This window comes from Homo sapiens, chromosome 5, assembly GCF_000001405.40.
Source record: "Homo sapiens chromosome 5, GRCh38.p14 Primary Assembly".
NCBI classification, from domain to species: domain Eukaryota; kingdom Metazoa; phylum Chordata; class Mammalia; order Primates; family Hominidae; genus Homo; species Homo sapiens.
The window spans coordinates 79,254,700-79,273,703 of record NC_000005.10 but is presented as its reverse complement, the minus strand read 5'-3'; the positions used below and the strand labels follow the sequence as shown (position 1 = coordinate 79,273,703).

At 42.1% G+C, this 19,004-nt stretch overlaps 1 protein-coding gene across 1 annotated transcript in view, besides 7 other annotated features; it reads right to left on the bottom strand.

Annotated features, from left to right (window-relative positions):
- JMY (junction mediating and regulatory protein, p53 cofactor) overlaps window positions 1–19,004 on the bottom strand; it is a 91,081-nt gene that overhangs the window by 53,508 nt on the left and 18,569 nt on the right. The gene's annotated exons all lie outside the window — the stretch shown is intronic.
- Window positions 9,389–9,913: an enhancer, noted in NCBI's record as "H3K27ac-H3K4me1 hESC enhancer chr5:78559614-78560138 (GRCh37/hg19 assembly coordinates)". NCBI's record gives its function as "activates a minimal SCP1, AML or CMV promoter by ChIP-STARR-seq in naive H9 embryonic stem cells {active_cell/tissue: H9 hESC(naive)}" and the evidence as "EXISTENCE:reporter gene assay evidence [ECO:0000049][PMID:30033119]".
- Window positions 9,979–10,158: an enhancer, noted in NCBI's record as "active region_22723". NCBI's record gives its function as "activates an Ori minimal core promoter by ATAC-STARR-seq in GM12878 lymphoblastoid cells {active_cell/tissue: GM12878}" and the evidence as "EXISTENCE:reporter gene assay evidence [ECO:0000049][PMID:35858748]".
- Window positions 11,325–11,862: an enhancer, noted in NCBI's record as "NANOG-H3K27ac hESC enhancer chr5:78557665-78558202 (GRCh37/hg19 assembly coordinates)". NCBI's record gives its function as "activates a minimal SCP1, AML or CMV promoter by ChIP-STARR-seq in primed H9 embryonic stem cells {active_cell/tissue: H9 hESC(primed)}" and the evidence as "EXISTENCE:reporter gene assay evidence [ECO:0000049][PMID:30033119]".
- Window positions 11,863–12,400: an enhancer, noted in NCBI's record as "H3K27ac hESC enhancer chr5:78557127-78557664 (GRCh37/hg19 assembly coordinates)". NCBI's record gives its function as "activates a minimal SCP1, AML or CMV promoter by ChIP-STARR-seq in primed H9 embryonic stem cells {active_cell/tissue: H9 hESC(primed)}" and the evidence as "EXISTENCE:reporter gene assay evidence [ECO:0000049][PMID:30033119]".
- Window positions 13,615–14,274: an enhancer, noted in NCBI's record as "H3K27ac-H3K4me1 hESC enhancer chr5:78555253-78555912 (GRCh37/hg19 assembly coordinates)". NCBI's record gives its function as "activates a minimal SCP1, AML or CMV promoter by ChIP-STARR-seq in primed H9 embryonic stem cells {active_cell/tissue: H9 hESC(primed)}" and the evidence as "EXISTENCE:reporter gene assay evidence [ECO:0000049][PMID:30033119]".
- Window positions 14,935–15,596: an enhancer, noted in NCBI's record as "H3K27ac-H3K4me1 hESC enhancer chr5:78553931-78554592 (GRCh37/hg19 assembly coordinates)". NCBI's record gives its function as "activates a minimal SCP1, AML or CMV promoter by ChIP-STARR-seq in naive H9 embryonic stem cells {active_cell/tissue: H9 hESC(naive)}" and the evidence as "EXISTENCE:reporter gene assay evidence [ECO:0000049][PMID:30033119]".
- Window positions 17,540–18,328: an enhancer, noted in NCBI's record as "H3K27ac-H3K4me1 hESC enhancer chr5:78551199-78551987 (GRCh37/hg19 assembly coordinates)". NCBI's record gives its function as "activates a minimal SCP1, AML or CMV promoter by ChIP-STARR-seq in primed H9 embryonic stem cells {active_cell/tissue: H9 hESC(primed)}" and the evidence as "EXISTENCE:reporter gene assay evidence [ECO:0000049][PMID:30033119]".

Sequence of the window (19,004 nt, the reverse complement as noted above, 5' to 3'; positions counted from 1 at the left end):
CCTCAGCCTCCCAAAGTGTTAGGATTATAGGCGTACGCCATTGTACCTGGCCAAAAGGTCTTAACATATATTGAACTGAAGTTCCAGAGGAGAAGAGAAAATGATTCAGAACAAAATATTACAAGAAAAATCCCAAATTTGGCGAAAGACATAAATCTACACATGCAAGAAGCTCTAATAGCTCCAAGCAGATAAATGCAGTTACCCACAAGTAGGTTTATCATATTATAGTCAAACTACTGGAACTCAAAAATAAAAGAGAAATTCCTGAAAACAGCTAGAGAAAAATAACATAGGAGGAACAAGTACACCTATGAATGCTGACTACAAACTAGAAACAATAGAGAACAGATGAGGAATAAACAAAACACAACAAAACATCTGTCAACCCAGAATTCCATTTCCAAGCAAATATCCCTCCTGAACAAAGAAAAAATAAACAGTTAAATTAAAAGAGAACTCATCACCAGCAGATGGACACCATAAGAAATGTTCTTTAAAATGTGTTCAGATTGAAGGAAAATGATACACATGGAAACTTAGATTTTCATAAAGGAATAAAGATTGCTGGAAATGATATTAGTAGGAAAATAGACTATTTTTCCTCTTAATTTCTATAAAATACACAGGAGTGTTCAAAGCAAAAATCATACGACTGTACTGAAGTTTATAATGTATCTGACTATAATAAATATGAAACCTAAAGCATAAAGAACAGGGTTAGAGATGAATCTATACAGACACATATGGGTTCTTAAGTATAAGATGGGCTGGGTGCAGTGGCTCGTGCCTGTAATCCCAGCACTTTGGGAGGCCGAGGCAGGTGGATCACTTGAGGTTGGGAGTTTGAGACCAGCCTGGCCAACATGGCAAAACCCTGTCTCACTACTAGAAATACAAAAATTAGCCAAGCATGGCAGCACACACCTGCAATCCCAGCTACTCGGGAAGCTGAGGCACGAGAATCACTTGAACTCACGAGTTTGAGGCTGCAGTGAGCTATGACTGAGCCACTGCACTCTAACCTGGGAGAAAGAACAAAGCCCTGTCTCTTAAAAAGAGATGAAGTGGTACAATATTAACTCCAAGTATGGTTTAATCCCTATGGCAACCACTAAAAGAATAATAATTTAAGAAGGTATGCTATAAGCCCCAATATATTCAAGTTATTAAATTAACCCAAAAGAAATCAGGAAAAGAAGAGGAGAAAAAAGAAGTAAAAACTACACGCTATTTTCATATACATACCTCTATGTCAAAAAAAAGAAAAGAAAAAAAAGGAAACCAAAACAGAAGATATAAACAGAAAACAAATAGACCTAAATCCAACCTTGTCAAGAATTATATGAAATATAAATGGACTAAACTCTTTAATTTAAAGGTAGAGTTGTTGGAATGGATATAAAAGGAAGCCACAATTATATGTTGCCTAGAAGAGATAAATATTGAAAACAAAGACACAAATAAGTTGAAAGCAAACAGTAAAGCATAAGAAGCCTGGAGGGACTATTTTAATATCAAAGAGTAGATAGACTGTAAGATATAGAGTATTACTGGAGATAATGCAGAACTTCTTTTTTTTTTTTTTTTTAAAGACAGAATCTCACTCTATGACACAGGCTGGAGTGCAGTGGTGTGATCTCAGCTCACTGCAACCTCCACCTCCCGGGTTCAAGCAATTCTCCTGCCTCAGCCTCCCAAGTAGCTGGGATTACAGGTGTGCACCACCAAGCCTGGCTAATTTTTTTGTATTTTAGTAGAGACAGAGTTTCACCATGTTGCCCCCTGGATGGTCTTGAACTCCTGAGCTCAGATAATCCGCCTGCCTCGGCCTCCCAAAGCACTTAGGATTACAGGCGTGAGCCACTGCGCCCAGCCCAGAACATTTTATAAACACGAAAGAGTCAATTCATCAGGAAGACACAACAATCATATGTGTACATACCTAATAATGGAACTTCAAAGTACATTAAGTTATAATGGAAAGAATTTTTAAAAAGAAGGAAGAAAGTTGACAGAGTTGGTGATTTTAACACTCCTCAGTCACAACATCCTCGTTAGCATAACGGTGAGTAAAAGAAAATGAGACACAAATGTACAAAAAAATTCAGTAGAAACAACAGGTAATCTGAACAGACCTATATCCATGCAAGTGATTGAATCAATAACTATACCCTTCCAAAACAGAATGCATCAGGCCCAGATAGGTTCATAGGTGAATTCTACCAGATATTTAAGAAAGAAATTATACCAGTTCTCTCAAATATCTTCTAGAAAATAGAAGTAGAGGGAATACTTCCTAACTCGTTTTGTGAGGCCAGGTTTAGCCTAACAGCAAAAACAGACAAACACTACAAGAAAGAAAAACTACAGGCTGAGCATGATGGATTGCACCTGTAACCCCAGCACTTTGGAAAGCCTAGGGAGGAGAATCACTTGAGCTCAGGAATTCAAGGCCAGCCTGAGCAACATAGCGAGACTCTCTCTACTAAAATTTAAAAAAAAAAAAAAATAGCCAGGTGTGGTGGGAGACTTGCTTGACCCTGTGAAGTCAAGGCTGCAGTGAGTCCTGATCATGCCACTGCCCTCCAGCCTGGGCAACACAGCAAGGCCCTGTCTTAAAAAAACTACAGACTGACATCTCCCATTAGCACAGACACAAAAATCCTCCACAAAATATTTAGCAAATCCAACCAATGTAAAAAGAATTATATACCATAACTGAATGTGATTTATTCCAAGTATACAAAAGGCTAGCTCAACAGTCAATAATCAATTGTCATCTACTACAAAAACAGGCTAAACAAGAAAAATCACATGATCATATCAACAGATGCAGAAAATGCATTTCACAAAATCCAACACTCAATTCATGATAAAACTCTCAGCAAACTAGGAATGGAAAACCTCCTTCACCTTGATAAAAAAAAACCTTGAGCTAACATATTTAATGGTGAGAAAGTATTTATGGTGTATATATATTTATAATAATAAATATATAATATATAAATATATTAATATAAATATATTTTATATTTATGTAAATATATATTTTATATAAATATTTATGTAAATATATTTTATATAAACATTTATGTAAATATACATTTTAAATATTTATGTAAATATACATTTTAAATATTTATGTAAATATACATTTTAAATATTTATGTAAATATATATTTTAAATATTTATGTAAATATATATTTTATGTAAATATTTATGTAAATATACATTTTAAATATTTATGTAAATATATATTTTAAATATTTATGTAAATATATATTTTAAATATTTATGTAAATATATATTTTATGTAAATATTTATGTAAATATACATTTTAAATATTTATGTAAATATATATTTTAAATATTTATGTAAATATATATTTTAAATATTTATGTAAATATATATTTTATATAAACATATAAATTTTTATATATGCATTTATATTTAATGGTGTTCCCACTATGATGAGGCAAAAAGCAAGGATGTCCCCTTTACTACTCCTATTTAACATAGTACTGAAAGTCCTAATTAATGCAATAACAAAAGAAAAGGAAATTTAAAATGTGTAGACTGGGAAGCAGTAAAACTGTCTCTGCTTGCAGATGACCTATTTGTCCATGTAGAAAATGAACTCACGTACACACACCCACACACTCCTCCAGGCCAGGTGCAGTGGTTCATGTCTGGCAATCTCACCCCTCTGGGAGGCAGAGGCAGGAGAATCACTTCAGCCCAGGAGTTCAAGACCCACCTGGGCAACATAGTAGGACATCATGTATACAAAAAAAAATTTTTTAATTAGCTGGACACGGTAGCACATGCCTGCAGTCCTAGCTACTGCAGAGGCTGAGGCAGGAATCCTTGAACCTAGGAGTTCAAGGTTGCAGTGAGCTATGATTGCGCCACTGCACTCCAGCCTAGGTGACAGGGCAATACCCTGTCTCTAAAAAAAAAAATAAATAAAAAATAAAATACATTAATTTCAAAAAAAATTCCAAATGTTATTTCTATTAGCACACCAAAAATTAGGTATAAATCTAACAATATATGTACAAGATCTTTAACAAGAAAGCTATAAAACTCTGACAAAGGAAATCAAAGTAGATCTAAGGAAATATTCCATGTGTATGCATAGGAAGACTCAATACTAACAAGGTATTAGTTCTTCCTAACTTGATCTATAAATTCAATGCAATCCTAATCAAAATCTCTGCAAGTTATTTTGTGGGTATCAAAAAATAAATTCTAAAGTTTATACAGAGGTGAAAAGACTCAGAATAGCTAACACAATATTGAAGAATGTTGAAGGTCTGACACTCCTCAACCTCTTTCAGACACTCTAAAGCTACAGTAGTCAAGACAGTAGGGTATCTGTGAAAGAACAGACAAGTAGACCAATGGAACAGAATAGAGTCCAAAAATAAATCCACACAAATACAGTTAAATGATCTTTTAACAGAGAGCAAAGACAATTCAATAGAAGAGTCTTAAAAAAGAATCTAGACACAGACCTTGCACTCTTCACAAAAATTAACTCAAAATTGATCATGGAATTAAATGTAAAACTGAAAACTATAAAACTTCTAGAAGATAACATGGAAGAAAATCCAGCTGACCTTGCCTTTGGCCTTGACTTTAGATATGACACCAAAAACACAATCCATTAAAAAATTGGTGAGTGGGACTTCATTTAACTTCTGCTCTGCAAAAGACACTATTAAGAATGAAAAGACAGGCTACAGATGGAGAAAAAACATTTGCAAAAGACATATCTGATAAAAGACTGTTACCAAAAGTATACAAAGAACTCCTGAAGCTCAACAGTAAAAAAAGATCCAATTTACAAATGGGCAAAATATCTCATTGAAAATATACAGATGACAAATAAGCATGTGAAAAGATGCTCACCGGGCGCGGTGGCTCACGCCTGTAATCCCAGCACTTTGGGAAGCCGAGGCGGGTGGATCATAAGGTCAAGAGATCGAGACCATCCTGGCCAACATGGTGAAACCCCGTCTCTATTAAAAGTATAAAAAAATTAGCCGGGCATGGTGGTGGGCGCCTGTAGTCCCAGCTACTCGGGAGGCTGAGGCAGAAGAATCGCTTGAACCCGGGAGGTGGAGGTTGCAGTGAGCCGAGATCACGCCATCACACTCCAGCCTGGGCGACAGAGCGAGACGCCATCTCAAGAAATAAATAAATAAATAAATAAAAAATAAATAAAAAGATGCTCAACATCACATAGCATTAGGGAATTATAAATCAAAATGAGATACCAATACATACCTATTAAAATAGTGAAAATCCAAAACCCTGACATCAGAAAATGCTAGAGGATGCGGAACAACCAGAACTCATTCACTGTTGATGGAAATGCAACTGTACAGCTACATTGGGAGACACCATAACAGTCTTATTTTTTATTTACTTTGATAGATGACTGAGAGATAGACAGGCAGGATCTCACTCTTGCCCAGGCTGGAGTGCAGTGGCACATTCGTAACTCCCTGCAGCCTGGAACTCCTGGGCTCAAGTGATTTTCCCACCGTAGCCTCCTGAGGAGCTGAAACTACAGGTGCGCACCACCACACCCACTAATTTTTTAAATTTTTTGTAGCGATGGGTCTCACTGTGTTGCTCAGGCTCATCTTGAACTCCTGGCTTCAATCTTCCCACCTCAGTCTCTCCCAAAGTGTTTGCATTACAGGCATGGGCCACTATGTCCAGCCCACTCTGACAGTTTCTTACAAAACTACACATACCTTACCACCTAATCCAGAAATCATGGATCATTAATATTTATCCAAATGAGTTGGAAACTTTTATCTACACAAAAACCTGCACACTAAAGTTTATAGAAGCTTAATTTTAACTACCAAAACATGAATGCAACCAAGATGTCTTTCAACAGGTGAATGGATAAGCAAATTGTAGTACATCCATACAATGAAATGTTCGGCAAGAAAAAGAAATGAGCTGGGTGGGCACTGTGGCCCAGGCCTGTAATCCCAGCACTTTGTGAGAGCAAGGTAAGAGGATTGCTTGACCCTGGGAGTTTGAGACCAGCCTGGGCAACACAGGGAGATCCCATCTGTATAAAAAATAAATATTTTTTAAAAGGGAAAAGAAATGAACTATCAAGCTGCAAAAAGATATGGAACACCTTATATGTATATTGCTAACTGAAACAACTAATCTGAAAAGGCTATATATGATTCCAACTACATAACATCCTGGAAATGCCAAACTACAGAGAGTAAAAAGACCACTGGTTGCCAGAGGCTAGGAGAGATGGAGCACTCCAATGAACAGATGGAGCACTCCAATCAACAGATGGGGCCCAGGGGATTTTCAGAGCAGTTAAACTATTTTGTATATTATAATGGTGTACACAGGACAGCAGGACATTATGCATTTGTCAAAACATAGAAACTCTAGGGTTCTACATTTTATAAAAAAGGAAAACAAACCCAGAACTGTACAAAAAATTAATTTTAATATAAACTATGGATTACTCAATAATCTATGGATACTGGTTCATAAATTATAACAAATGTACCACACCAATGCAAAATGTTAATAATAGGGAAGACTGAAGGCAGGAGAGAGGTATGAAGTATGGAATCTCTGTACTATCTGCTCAATTTTTCTGTAAACCTAAAACTGATGTAAAAACTCAAGTCTATTAATTTTTAAAAACAGATGACACAAGCCTAAAGACATGTTATATTTCATTGTATGTGTTAAACTATCATAAAAGTAAAACAAAGAAATCATTCAAAATAAAGCCATAATAACCAATTAACACTGATTTTCATACCTGCTGACACCTATTTTTTGTAAGCTGATCAAAGCTGTGTCTGTCTTTCTACTTTGTTAACAGGCGGTTTTTTGGTTGGTTCTATTATTTGTTTTTAATAGTCAACTAGAGCAAAAAGAAGCAATTCAAACATCAGTGTGGGGTTTGGTGAAGAGAAGTTGGTTAATGGATACAAAAATACAGTTAGAAGGAATAAATTCTGGTATTCAACAGTATAGTAGGAAAATTATAGTTAACAGTAATTTATTGTTTATTTCAAAACAGTTGGAAGAACTGTAATGTACCCAACACAAAAACAGGATAAATGGTTGAGGTGATGGATATTGCAATTACCTGACGTGATCATTATACATTGTATATGCATATCAAAATATCACATGTACCACCTAAATATGTACAACTATATCAATTAAAAATACAAAACGCCCCTGACCTTGGTCATTTAACAAGTATTAATACATGATTTACATACTTAACTAGTCAAGAAAGAACGATATTTGTGGACTGCTCACTCTGTGCCCAGCATTGATTTATCCAACAAATATTTCTGTGATTCTACCACTAGGTAGACATTCTACCAGACACTAGGGACACAATGGTGAACCAAACAGACATCGTCTCTGCTTCTAAAGAGCTTACTTAATCTGTAGAGACATTAATCAAACTCCCAAACAAATTTAAAACTGAACGCCTCTGTGAATGAGAGGCAAATACCTTGCAAATAAGACTACACACATGGACAGAGGACAGGCCACATGGGATTTTGCTTGTGATGAAAGCTAAGAAAAGTTGGCCAGGCACGGTGGCTCACACCTATAATCCCAGCACTTTGGGAGGCCAAGTTGGGTGGATCACCTGAGGTCAGGAGTTCGAGACCAGCATGGCCAACATGGTGAAACCCTGTCTCTACTAAAAATACAGTACTAGCCGAGTGTGGTGGCGCATATGCCAGTAATCCCAGCTACTCGGGAGGCTGAAGCAGAAGAATCACTTGAACCTGGGAGGCGGAGGTTGCAGTGAGCCGAGATCGTGCCACTGCACTCCAGCCTGGACAAGAGTGAAATTCTGCCTCAAAAAAAAAAAAAAAAAAAAGAATCATCACAGATGAGCAATCTGGGTGGGAAACAGTGGGTGAGGCCGTGTCATCATGCTCCCTGAGAAAGTTCATAGGAGGGAGTGGGACATCACACTGAGTCCATAAATGCAGCACATTCTAATAAGCAGTAAGCCCATCTACAGAGTGGGGGAAAAAGAACATTGCATGTGGTCAATCCGTCCTGTTTAATCTTTAGTCTACAGAGTTCAATTCAACTAACTAAATGGCCATATCAAAGTGACGGTACCTTGCTACTCAAAGTATGGTCTGGGACCAGCAACATTGGTGTCACCTAGGAACTTGTTACAAATGAAACCAGAACCTCACCTTTAGATCTGCAGAATGGGACTCTGAATTGTAGTTAAGACTGCCAAGTGATAAGTGTATACATTAAACTTTGAGAAGCACTGCTTTAATAAATATCTTAATATCCCCATATTAACCATCAGTTAGTGAGGCAAGTATCTCTGAAGTTATATAAATTATGTAGTCAATTTACTTATCTATAAAATTAAAACATATAACATTTTTCTTGAATCTAAAACAGTTTTTTGGCCGGGTGCAGTAGCTCACGCCTGTAATCCCAGCACTTTGGGAGGCCAAGGCGGGCGGATCACGAGGTCAGGAGATCAAGACCATCCTGGCTAACAAGGTGAAACCTGTCTCTACTGAAAATACAAAAAATTAGCCAGGCATGGTGGCGGGCGCCTGTAGTCCCAGCTACTCAGGAGGCTGAGGCAGGAGAATGAATGGCATGAACCTGGGAGGCAGGGCTTATAGTAAGCCAAGATCGTGCCACTCACTCCAGCGTGGGTGACAGTGATAGCGCAAGACTCTGCCTCAAAAAATTACATAAATAAATAAAATAAAATAAAATAACTTTTCCCACTCTTTCTCTCACTGCATTTACTGTCATTCTATGTTAGATTAATGACTACTATTTAAACTAAAATTGAGCCAAAACTCATTTCTTATGGTTCAGTTCCTCTACTGAAGCATTTTTAGTTATTCTAAGAAAAAACACTGTTATTACTGAATCACAGAATGATCTTCAGCGTTAGAAGGCAGGCACAGAGTGACAAAATCAGCCTAGTTTCTCTCCAGCATTGGCCAGGGTCTTATCTCCAGTGCATGGGTCATTCAACAAAGTTGGCCTTAATGCAATGGCCATTAAAATTATATTAACTCTTTTCATTCTGATGAAATATTATTTGCTTTTAAAAATCATGATTTATGCCAGGCGCAGTGGCTCACACCTGTAATTCCAGCACTTTGGCAGGCTTTACCTCCTACAGTGAGGTAGGAGGATCACTTGAGCTCAGGAGTTCAAGACCAGCCTGGGCAACATAGTGAGACCATGTCTCTACAAAAAAAAAAAATTAAAAATTATGGCCAGGTGAAGTGGCTCACACCTGTAATTCCAGCCCTCTGGGAGGCTGAGGTCAGCGGATTGCTTAAGCCCAGGAGTTCGAAACCAGCCTGGGTAACACAGTAAAACCCCACCTCTACTAAAAACACAAAAAATTAGCCAGGTGTGGTGGCACACAGCTGTAGTCCCAGCTACTCAGGAGGTTGAGGTGAAAGAATCACCTGAGCCCGGGAGGGCCAGGCTGCAGTGAGCCAAGATCACATCACTGTACTCTACCCTGGGCAACCAGAGTGAGACCCTATCTTTAAAAAAAAACAAAAAGGCCAAGCACAGTGACTCGCGCCTGTAATCCCAGCACTTTGGGAGGCTGAGGCAGGCAGATCACCAGAGGTCAGGAGTTTGAGACCAGCCTGGCCAACATGGTGAAACCCCGTCTCTACTAATTAGCTGGGTGTGGTGGCAGGCGCCTGTAATCCCAGCTACTCTGGAGGCTGAGGCAGGAGAATTGCTTGCACCTGGGAGGCGGAGACTGCAGTGAGCCGAGATCGTACCACTGCACTCCAGCCTGGGCGACAAGAGTGAAACTCTGTTTCAAAAAAAAAAAAAGACGGACATGGTGGCACACATCAGGATGCCAAAGCAGGAGGCTGATGCTGTAGTAAGCCATGATTGCACCGGTGTACTCCAGCCTAGACAAAAAGGCAAGACTCTATAAAAAAAAATTTTAGTGGCCACAGGCGGTGGCTCACACCTACAATCCCAGCACTTTGGAACACCTTGAGGTCAGGAGTTCAAGACCAGCCTGGGCCACATGGTGAAAACCCTGTCTCCACAAAAAAGTGAAAAATCAGCCAGGCGTAGTGGCGCACACCTGTTGACCCAGCTAGTCAGGAAGTTGAGGCTGCAGGATCACTTGAGCCCGGGAGATGGAGGTTGCAGTGAGTTGAGATCACGCTACTGCACACTAGCCTGGGTGACAGAGCACATCCTGCCTGAAAAGAAAAAAAAAATCAAAAAACCTGTTTGTAACAAAGACCGTGCATATTCAAGGATACTTGGGTCTGAGTCTTCTCGGCAGCTGTCCTTACTTTGGCCCAAGTAAACTCTTCAAATATATTTTGTGCCTCAGCCTCTTCCTTTTAGGTCAAAGGCAATAATTCCCTTCTTCCAAGAATATGTACATACAAAGAAGCCCTTTATCTTATACTTCGCTTGAAAACTAACACTTTCTTCGAGATAATGGTTTTCTACCAGGTTTCAGGAATAGCAAAAGTGTTAAAAGAATGAGGGGAAAAAAATGGTGCCAACATCTTTCAATAGTAAAATCCCCCTGAGTCATTTACAAGTGATCAAATGCCACAATTCAACAGTAAGCGAACCCTCAAACACTAGGCTTCTTTGGGCTCTTCTTACAGGGTCAATAAAGTAAATGTAATACAAAGTTTAGATACTATTTTCTGCCAACACAAAAACATCAAGTCATTATATGATTATTAATTAAGTCACAATACCACTGTACACAAATATGTACAATAACTGAGGACAGAATATCAGTTACTCTATCCAAACATTAACATTTTTATCTATTATTTCCACCATGCTTTTTGTCCTCAGACAGAATAGTACTTTACAAAGCTATTATGCAGCACCTAAACTTAATACTCTTGCAGAGAAGCCCAAGCCATCTCACCTAACACTGCTAATTTATTAATCTGCCTTCTTTCCTATAAAGTTTCATGTTTTTCCAATACTAGACTACCTTAAAAACAATTTTAATTTCAATTGGTCAAACTATTTTAATCTAAGTATTGGCAAATAATCTTAAAATACAGGGAATGCATTTTATAACTTCATTTCAAAAGATACAATTTACTAAGCATTAGACTTTCGTGTAAACCGTTTCCTATAATTCATGATAAAAGAATTCAACAGGTGAAAAAATAATCACTAACTTGATATAATTATAAAACTTAATTTTTGATTTTGCTAACTAAAAACTGACAAAGTCCAGGGAATAAATAAACTGAGCTATGGGCATTTGCAGGTTATAAACTGCAAAATGTGTAAGGTACTATAAATAATGCATATAAAAGACTAAAAGGAATTATAAAGAAAGTCGAATTATTTAGGATTAAGGATATTTGAGATGAAGAGGGAAGGCCTTAATTTAAAATGCAGCAGATGCACCTAAAATGTGAAAGATGCATTTTGCTAAATTTGAGAAGATTCACTGAGAGCCACACTGAATAAGAACGCAGATGGATCTGAATGAGAATACAACCACAAAGGGTTTCAGAAGTGCTGAAGCTCAACCAGCACAACATAAAAACGGCCACAGCAGGATTCAGCAGAAAGGAAGGACAAAGAGCAGGGGCCTGGAAAGTAAAGCTTTGATAATTTCTGCTTCAAAATCTGACATATCTCTTGTAGGATTTTAGAAAATGATTTTGCTCTATTGATTCACTTAAGAAACATGAAGCAGAGGTTGGGCATGGTGGCTCACGCCTGTAATCCCAGCACTTTGGGAGGCCTAGACGGGCAGATCACTTGAGGCCAGGAGTTTGACAGCAGCTTGGCCAACATGGTGAAACCCTGTCTCTACTAAAAATACAAAAATTAGCCGGGCATGGTAGTGCACGCCTGTAATCCCAGCAGGGTTATTTGCCAAAGTTAAGGAAATATGCCCGGGAGACAGGTCTACGCCTTTCTCTGAAGATAATTTTGAGGGCTCCAAATTTAAAGGGGAAAGGGCAGGTTACTGAGAAGTACACAATTTTCATGTAAGGGGGGTTAGGGAAAATAGTAATTCACGCCTTTGTCTGGCCCAGTGAATCTGCACTTTATTTTTTTAGAGACAGCCTCTCGCTTTTTCACCCATGCTGGAGTACAGTGGCTCCATCATGGCTCATTATAACCTCAACCTCCAGGGCTTAAGTGATCTTCCTGTCTCAGCCTCCTGAGTAGCTGGGACTACAGTCACGTGCCACTATGCCTGGCTAATTTTTTGATTATTATTATTATTATTATTTGTAGAGACGGCACTTTTACATAAGATAACCCAAACAAAATGGGGCAGGAGAACAATCAGATATGCATTTGTCTGGTGGGCAGGGGGGTGACTGCACCTGTAAGGATATGCTATCAATTTACATTGCCATGGTAAAATTTTAGCAGAAAAACCTCAGGGTAAAGATCTTGGAGCTCACTATGAATTTGCTTGTGGGCAAAATATGGCGGAAGCATGTAGCTTTTCATCTTGTAGCCATCTTATTTAGGAACCAAAAGGGACAGGTTTGTGTGACCCAGTTCCCAGCTTAACTTTTCCCTTTGGCTTAATGAGTTTGGGGTCCCTAGATTTATTTTCCTTTCACAAAATCTATAAGTAATATCTTTACCATTAATTATTAAAACATGCAAATAATTACTGTGAAAGGGAGTGACTTAGGATACTTGGATGGAAGGAACCTACCCCAGCAATGATACTGCATCTGTGGCCCTGGGAACTGCCTTTAGGTCCATTTGGTCTGTTTCCCCTACTGAGAAATAAGGACCAGTGCCATACATTTCCACATTTACACTGCCCATCTCTGTTCTTGCTTTGTAAAACTACTGAATTATTTTTATATTATTCCTGCTAATTATTACTTGTTAATACTAAAATCTGAGAAAAAAAAAGACTCAAGGGACATGAAATCAAAAAAGAAAAAAAAAATCTGGGGCCAGGTGTGGTCGCTCATGCCTGCAATCCCAGCACTTTGGGAGGCCAAGGTGGGTGGATCACTTGAGCTCAAGGGTTTGAGACCAGCCTGGGCAACATGGCAAAACCCCGTCTCTACAAAAAAAAAAAAAACCCACAAAAATCAGCTGGGTATGGTGGTTCATGCCCATATTCCCAGCTACTCAGGAGGCTGACGTGGGAGGATCGCTTGCTCCCAGGAGGTTGAGGCTGCAGTGAGGCAAGATCAAGCCACTCATGGCAGTGGCGGGCCATCTAGACTGGCTGCTGCCATCACATCAGTTGCAGTGGGGAGGCATAAGCGGTGGTGGCAAGAGCAGCTGTGGGAGCGGCAGTGGTGGCAGTGGGTTTCCTGTGCCCCATGTCCTGGAGGCACCTGACTGAACCACCCCCACCATCACAGGGCCAGGCAGGAACCACTCCCAGGCCTGGAGTCTCCGCCACAGCCTCAACCTTGCTTCCTACCGCATCCCAAGGGTCTGTGAGCACCTGGCTGAAGGGTACAGCTAGGACTTGTGAGGCCAGCCCTGGGTGCGTCAGGTTCATTTGTGTGGCGCTGGCCAGGGCTGCCATGCCACCTGTACCTCGACCACTGTCCTGGGAGACACTGCAATGGGGCCAGGCTGAGTTGCCTGCCAGCAGGGTAGCAGTACAGTCGGGCACTGAGGGGCAGGCAGAGAGGGGCCCTGAGGCAGAGGTGGGCCCAGGATGTGCATATGCCATGCTCCATGGAGCCAGTGGGAGCCAGGGGCATGCAGGATTCCCACCCTCCCAGGGGTGGCTACAGCTGCCCAAGCTACAGCTGCAGATCCAGGCATCTCTGCACTCTCCGGGGCCTGGGAAGGCCCCACCTTGCCCCTGCAGGCTCGGAGGTGTCTGCTCCCACTGCCTGGACTTTCCTCAATATCAGCGCCTGTTCCACTCACAAGGCAAAGTTGAGGCCAACCCTAGGTCTGTCACAACCTGGCTGGGTGTGCACAGGCTCGGGGGCAGTGCTGACACACCAGCCCCTGCCACTTCAGCCTGCTGCGGACTTTGGGCACCAATGAGCACAGAAGAGAGGCCAAGGGGGTGCTGAGGGCAGCTCAGCGCTGGCCCACAGACACTCCTTGGCACAAACAGCCTGGGCACCATAAATGGCAGCAGGAGGCAGACAAGCTCCTGGGCAGGAGTGGGTGAGTCCTTGGTGAAGCACCACCTTCAAGTCGGGGAGGGCCTGAAGCCTGGGTGTCAGACTGCTGATCCTACTGACTGGGGTGGGAACTTGTGGTGCCTTTTCCAGGCCCGCCCATGTTTGCCCACGGACCATTTCGCACACACTTCCTCCCCTGAGGCCCATAAAAGCCCCATATTCAGCCAGATGATGGGAGAGCAGCTGCAGAGAGAAGCTGCCCACCCCAGGGTCTCCTCTCTGCTGAGGGCTGAAGAGACGACCAGATAGCCAGCTGGAGAGATGAACTACCCTCTCTTCTGAGAGCTGGACACTCGTCGGGATGACCTGCCCAGCAGAGAAAAGCTACCCTCTCTACTGAGAGCTGAAGAAATGATGGGACAACCAGCTTCAGAGAGGAGCTACCCTCTCTGCTGAAAGCTGAACACTCATCGGGACATGCTGGCTACGGAGAGGAGCTGCCCACTACAGGTCTCCTCTGAGTTGTTCTATTGCTCAATAAAGCTCCTCTTTGTCTTGCTCACTCTCCACTTGTCTCTTGTCTGTGTACTTCATTCTTGCTGGATGCAGGACAAGAACTCAAGACCCAGGGAATGGCAGGGCTAAAAGAGCTGTAACACAAACAGGGCTGAAACACCCCTTGCCCACAATGTTACAGCCAACAAGAGGACAGAAGAGCTGTGGCCCTCTGGGGAGCCCAGACCTAGGAGCTCCCCAAGCCAGAGCGGTGACACCCTCTTTAAGGCGCTGCAGTTCCTGGAGTCTCCAAGCTTCCAGGCACCACACTGCATTCCCTGGTGTCAGCCATGGAAACTGCTTATGGTATCCCTGGTCCAGCCACAGCCTCATAGGGAGCTGGTGCCAGTACTGGCACCTGGAGCTGCCCGCCCCACCACCGCCAGAGTGCCTGGTTGTATGCAGTGGCCAGACCCCACGCTCACTAACACACCCCTCACCGCTCCATGACTGGCTCTCCCTTGGCAGGCATGGGACCCAGACTGGTAGCAGGAGCTGAGCACAGCCTGCCAGGCTGAGTGGGTAGAATGAGCCCAGCAGGCCAGAGGAAAACTCAGGCAAAGGCACCACTGGCCACACAAGTTTCTGGCTGGTGAGGCGACACCCCAAGGATCCCGTAACACCACTGTACTCCAGCCAGAGGGAGACCCTGTCAAAAAAAAAAAAAAAACAACAAAAACAAAAAAAGCCCTAATATCTGAATTTATAAAGTAATGCTCCAAACTGATATTTTTATTTCTTTTTAGTTCAAAGATAAATATTGTAGAAACTGATATTTAAAATGATTTTCAGATTCTTTCCTTTGTAGATAAGTAGTAAATTTCAGTAAATTTGACTGTGTTCTACCCCTGGGAAAATACATACCTCTCATTAAAATGTACATACACACTCTGTACATACATGTTATGTATAAAAAATCAAAGGCCGGGCACAGTGGCTCATGACTGTAATCCCAGCACTTTGGGAGTCTGAGGCAGGCGGACCACTTGAGGTTAGGAGTTCAAGACCAGCCTGGCCAACATGGTGAAACCCTGTCTCTACTAAAAACACAAAAATTAGCCAGGTGTTGGGGTGCATGCCTATAATCCCAGCTACTCAGGAGGCTGAGGCAGGAGAATTGCTTGAACACAGGAGGCAGAAGTTGCAGTGAGTCGAGACTGCACCACTGCACTCCAGCCTGGGCAACAAGAGTAAGACTCCGTCTCCAAAAAAAAAAGATAATCTGTTTTCATCTCTTAGGGACTTACAATGCACTTTAAGGGGCATGAGGGGTCCGTAAAGAGAAAAACCAGGGTGGCAGTTATGGATGATATCAGCTGTCAACATAAAGCCTCTTTGATTTCTGAATTTCTAACACAATTTCTGATTTTTTCTTGTTTGTTTGAGACAGGGTCACGCTGCTGCCCACGCTAGCATGCAGTGGTGCAATCATGGCCTACTGCAGCCTCGACATTCCTGGTTTCAGGTGATCCTCCCACCTCAGCCTCACAAGCAGCTGAGACCACAGGCTTACATCACCATGCCTGGCAAATTTTTGTAGTTTTTGTAGAGACAGGGTTTCACCATGTTCACCACGCTGCTCTTGAACTCTTGGACTCAAGCAATCCGCTCACCTCAGCCTCCCAAAGTACTAGGATTATAGACATGAGCCACCATGTCCAGCCTCTGATTTCTTACAGTGGTCAGAAATGACTTTCTATAGGGAAGGGACCTGATCTGGCCCTACCTAGAAAGAAGTATGGAACTTAGCCGGGCATGGTAGCTCACGCCTGTAATCACGGCTACTTGGGAGGCTGAGGCAGGAGAATCACTTGAACCTGGGAGGTAAAGATTGCAGTGAGCCGAGATCGCACCACTGCACTCCAGCCTGGGTGACAGAGTGAGTGAGACTCCATCTCAAAAAAAAAAATAAAATCAAATAAAATAATAATAATAATAAAATAAGGAATGTGGAACTTAACCAAAAAAAAAAGGCAGTGGTGATGGTGTACATAATGGAGCAAAAATAGGACTGTGTATAGTGACTTCAGCAAATAATGCATTTAAAAGGCTTGGCTATGGCTGGGCCTGGTGGCTCATGCCTGTAATATCGGCTAGTTACTAGGGAGGCTGAGGTGGGAGGATGAATTGAGCTCAAGACTTGAGACTGCAGTGAACTATGATCGCAACCCTAGGCGATGGAGAACCTGTCAAGCAAGAAAGAAATGAAAGGAAGGGTGGGGGAGGGAGGAAGGCAGGAAGGTCAGCACAATGGGAACAGGTGCAGAAAAGAAAGAAAGAAGGACAGGTGCAGTGGTTCAGGTCTGTAATCCCACCACTTTTGGAGGCCAAAAAGGAACAATCACTTGAGGCCAACAGTTCGAGACCAGCCTGGATAACACAGACTCCATCCCTAAAAAACATTTTTTAAGTTAGCTAAGGGGAATAGGACAGAGCAAGATGATGCAAATTACCCTTTACGAGACTCTGCACATTCTCAGCTGTGGTAGCTATGGGGTGGGGCGAGACTACTTCTGCTTGATTCCTGGCACCAGGTTAGCTATCAGGTCAGCCACGGTGGGGTAGAACACCAAGTGGGCTCATGGGGTCCCTGATTCCAGGACTTGACTCTTGGATGGCATTTCTGAACCTGCCCTGGACTATAGGAGAAGCTACTGCCCTGAAGGGTGGTTGAAAGGTGAGTCCCAGGCCAGGCAACATTCACCACAAACTGACTTAAGAGCCCTTGGGCCTGAAGGGAACATCAGCAGCAGTCTGCCAGTACTCCCCCTGGGCTTGTTCCTCTGGGATGAGGTTCCTCTGCCACTGGGAAGGGGAGGGAAAAGTGGGAAGGACTCCACCTAGTGGTGTGAGTGCCAGCTCAGCTGCCATACAATAGAACACCAGGTAGACTTCCAAGGTTTCTGATTCTAGTCCCTGGCTTCCAGAAAGGACCCATCAGGGACCTGGGGGAATTCTTCCCTCTGAAGGGAAGGGCACAGGCCTGGCTGGCTGGCTTTGCCACTTGCTGATTGTAGAGCCCTAGGGCCTTGAATGAACGTAGGCGGTAGCCAGGGAGTGGTTATAGCAGGCCTTGGGGGAGACCCAGTGCTGTGCTGGCTTCAGGTCTGACTCAGCACAGTCCCAGTGGTGATGGCCACAGGAGTGCTTGTGTCCCTCCACCCCCAGGTCTAGATGGCTCAGAACAGAGAGAGAAACTCTGTTGTTAAGGATAAAGTAAGGGAAGAGAACAAGAGTCTTTGCCTGGTAATCCAGTGAATTCTTTCACATCTTGACCAAGACCATCAAGGTGGTACCTTTATGAGTCTGCAACAACCACAGCAATATTGGGCTTGGGGTGTCCCCTAAAACAGATACAGCTTACATCACAACACCCAAGTCCTTTAGAATATGTGGAAAGCCTTCCCAAGAAGGACAGGTACAAACAAACCCAGACAGTGCAGATCACAGTAAATACCTAACTCTTCAATGCTCAGACACAGATGAACATCTACAAGTACCAAGATGATCTAGGAAAACATGACATCACTAAATGAACTATTAATAAATAAGCCACCAGGAACCAATCCTATAGAAACAGAGATATGTGGCCAGGTGCAGTGGCACACTCCTGTAATACCAGAACTTTGGGAGGCCGAGGCAAGCAGATCAATTGAGGTCAGGAGTTCCAGACCAGCCTGGCCAACATGGCGAAACCCCATCTCTACTAAAAATACAAAAATTAGCCAGGCGTGGTGGTGGGTGCCTGTAATCCCAGGTACTCAGGAGGCGGAGGCAGGAGAATCCCTTGAACCTGGGAGGTGGAAGTTGCAGTGAGTCGAGATGGCACCACTACAAGACCCTGTCTCAAAAAAAAGGAGAGAGAGATATGTGACCTTTCAGACAGAGAATTCAAAGTAGCTTTTTTGGGGGGAAACTAAAAGAATTTCAAGATAACACAGAGGAGGAATTCAGATTTCTATCAGACAAACTTAATAAAGAGATTGAAATAAAAGAACCAAGCAGAAATTCCAGAGCTAAAAAACACAATTGGCATATTGAAGAATGAATGCATCAGAGGCTTTTAATGACAGAACTGATCAAGCAGAAGAAAGAAATAGTGAGCTTGAAGACAGACTATTTGAAAATACAGTCAAGAGGAAAAAAAAAAGAGAAAACAATGAAGTGTGACTGCAGGATTTAAAAAATAGCCTCGAAAGGGCAAATCTAAGAGTTATTGGCCTTAATGAGGAGGTAGAGAGATGGGGTAGAAAGTTTATTCAAAGGGATAATAACACAGAACTTC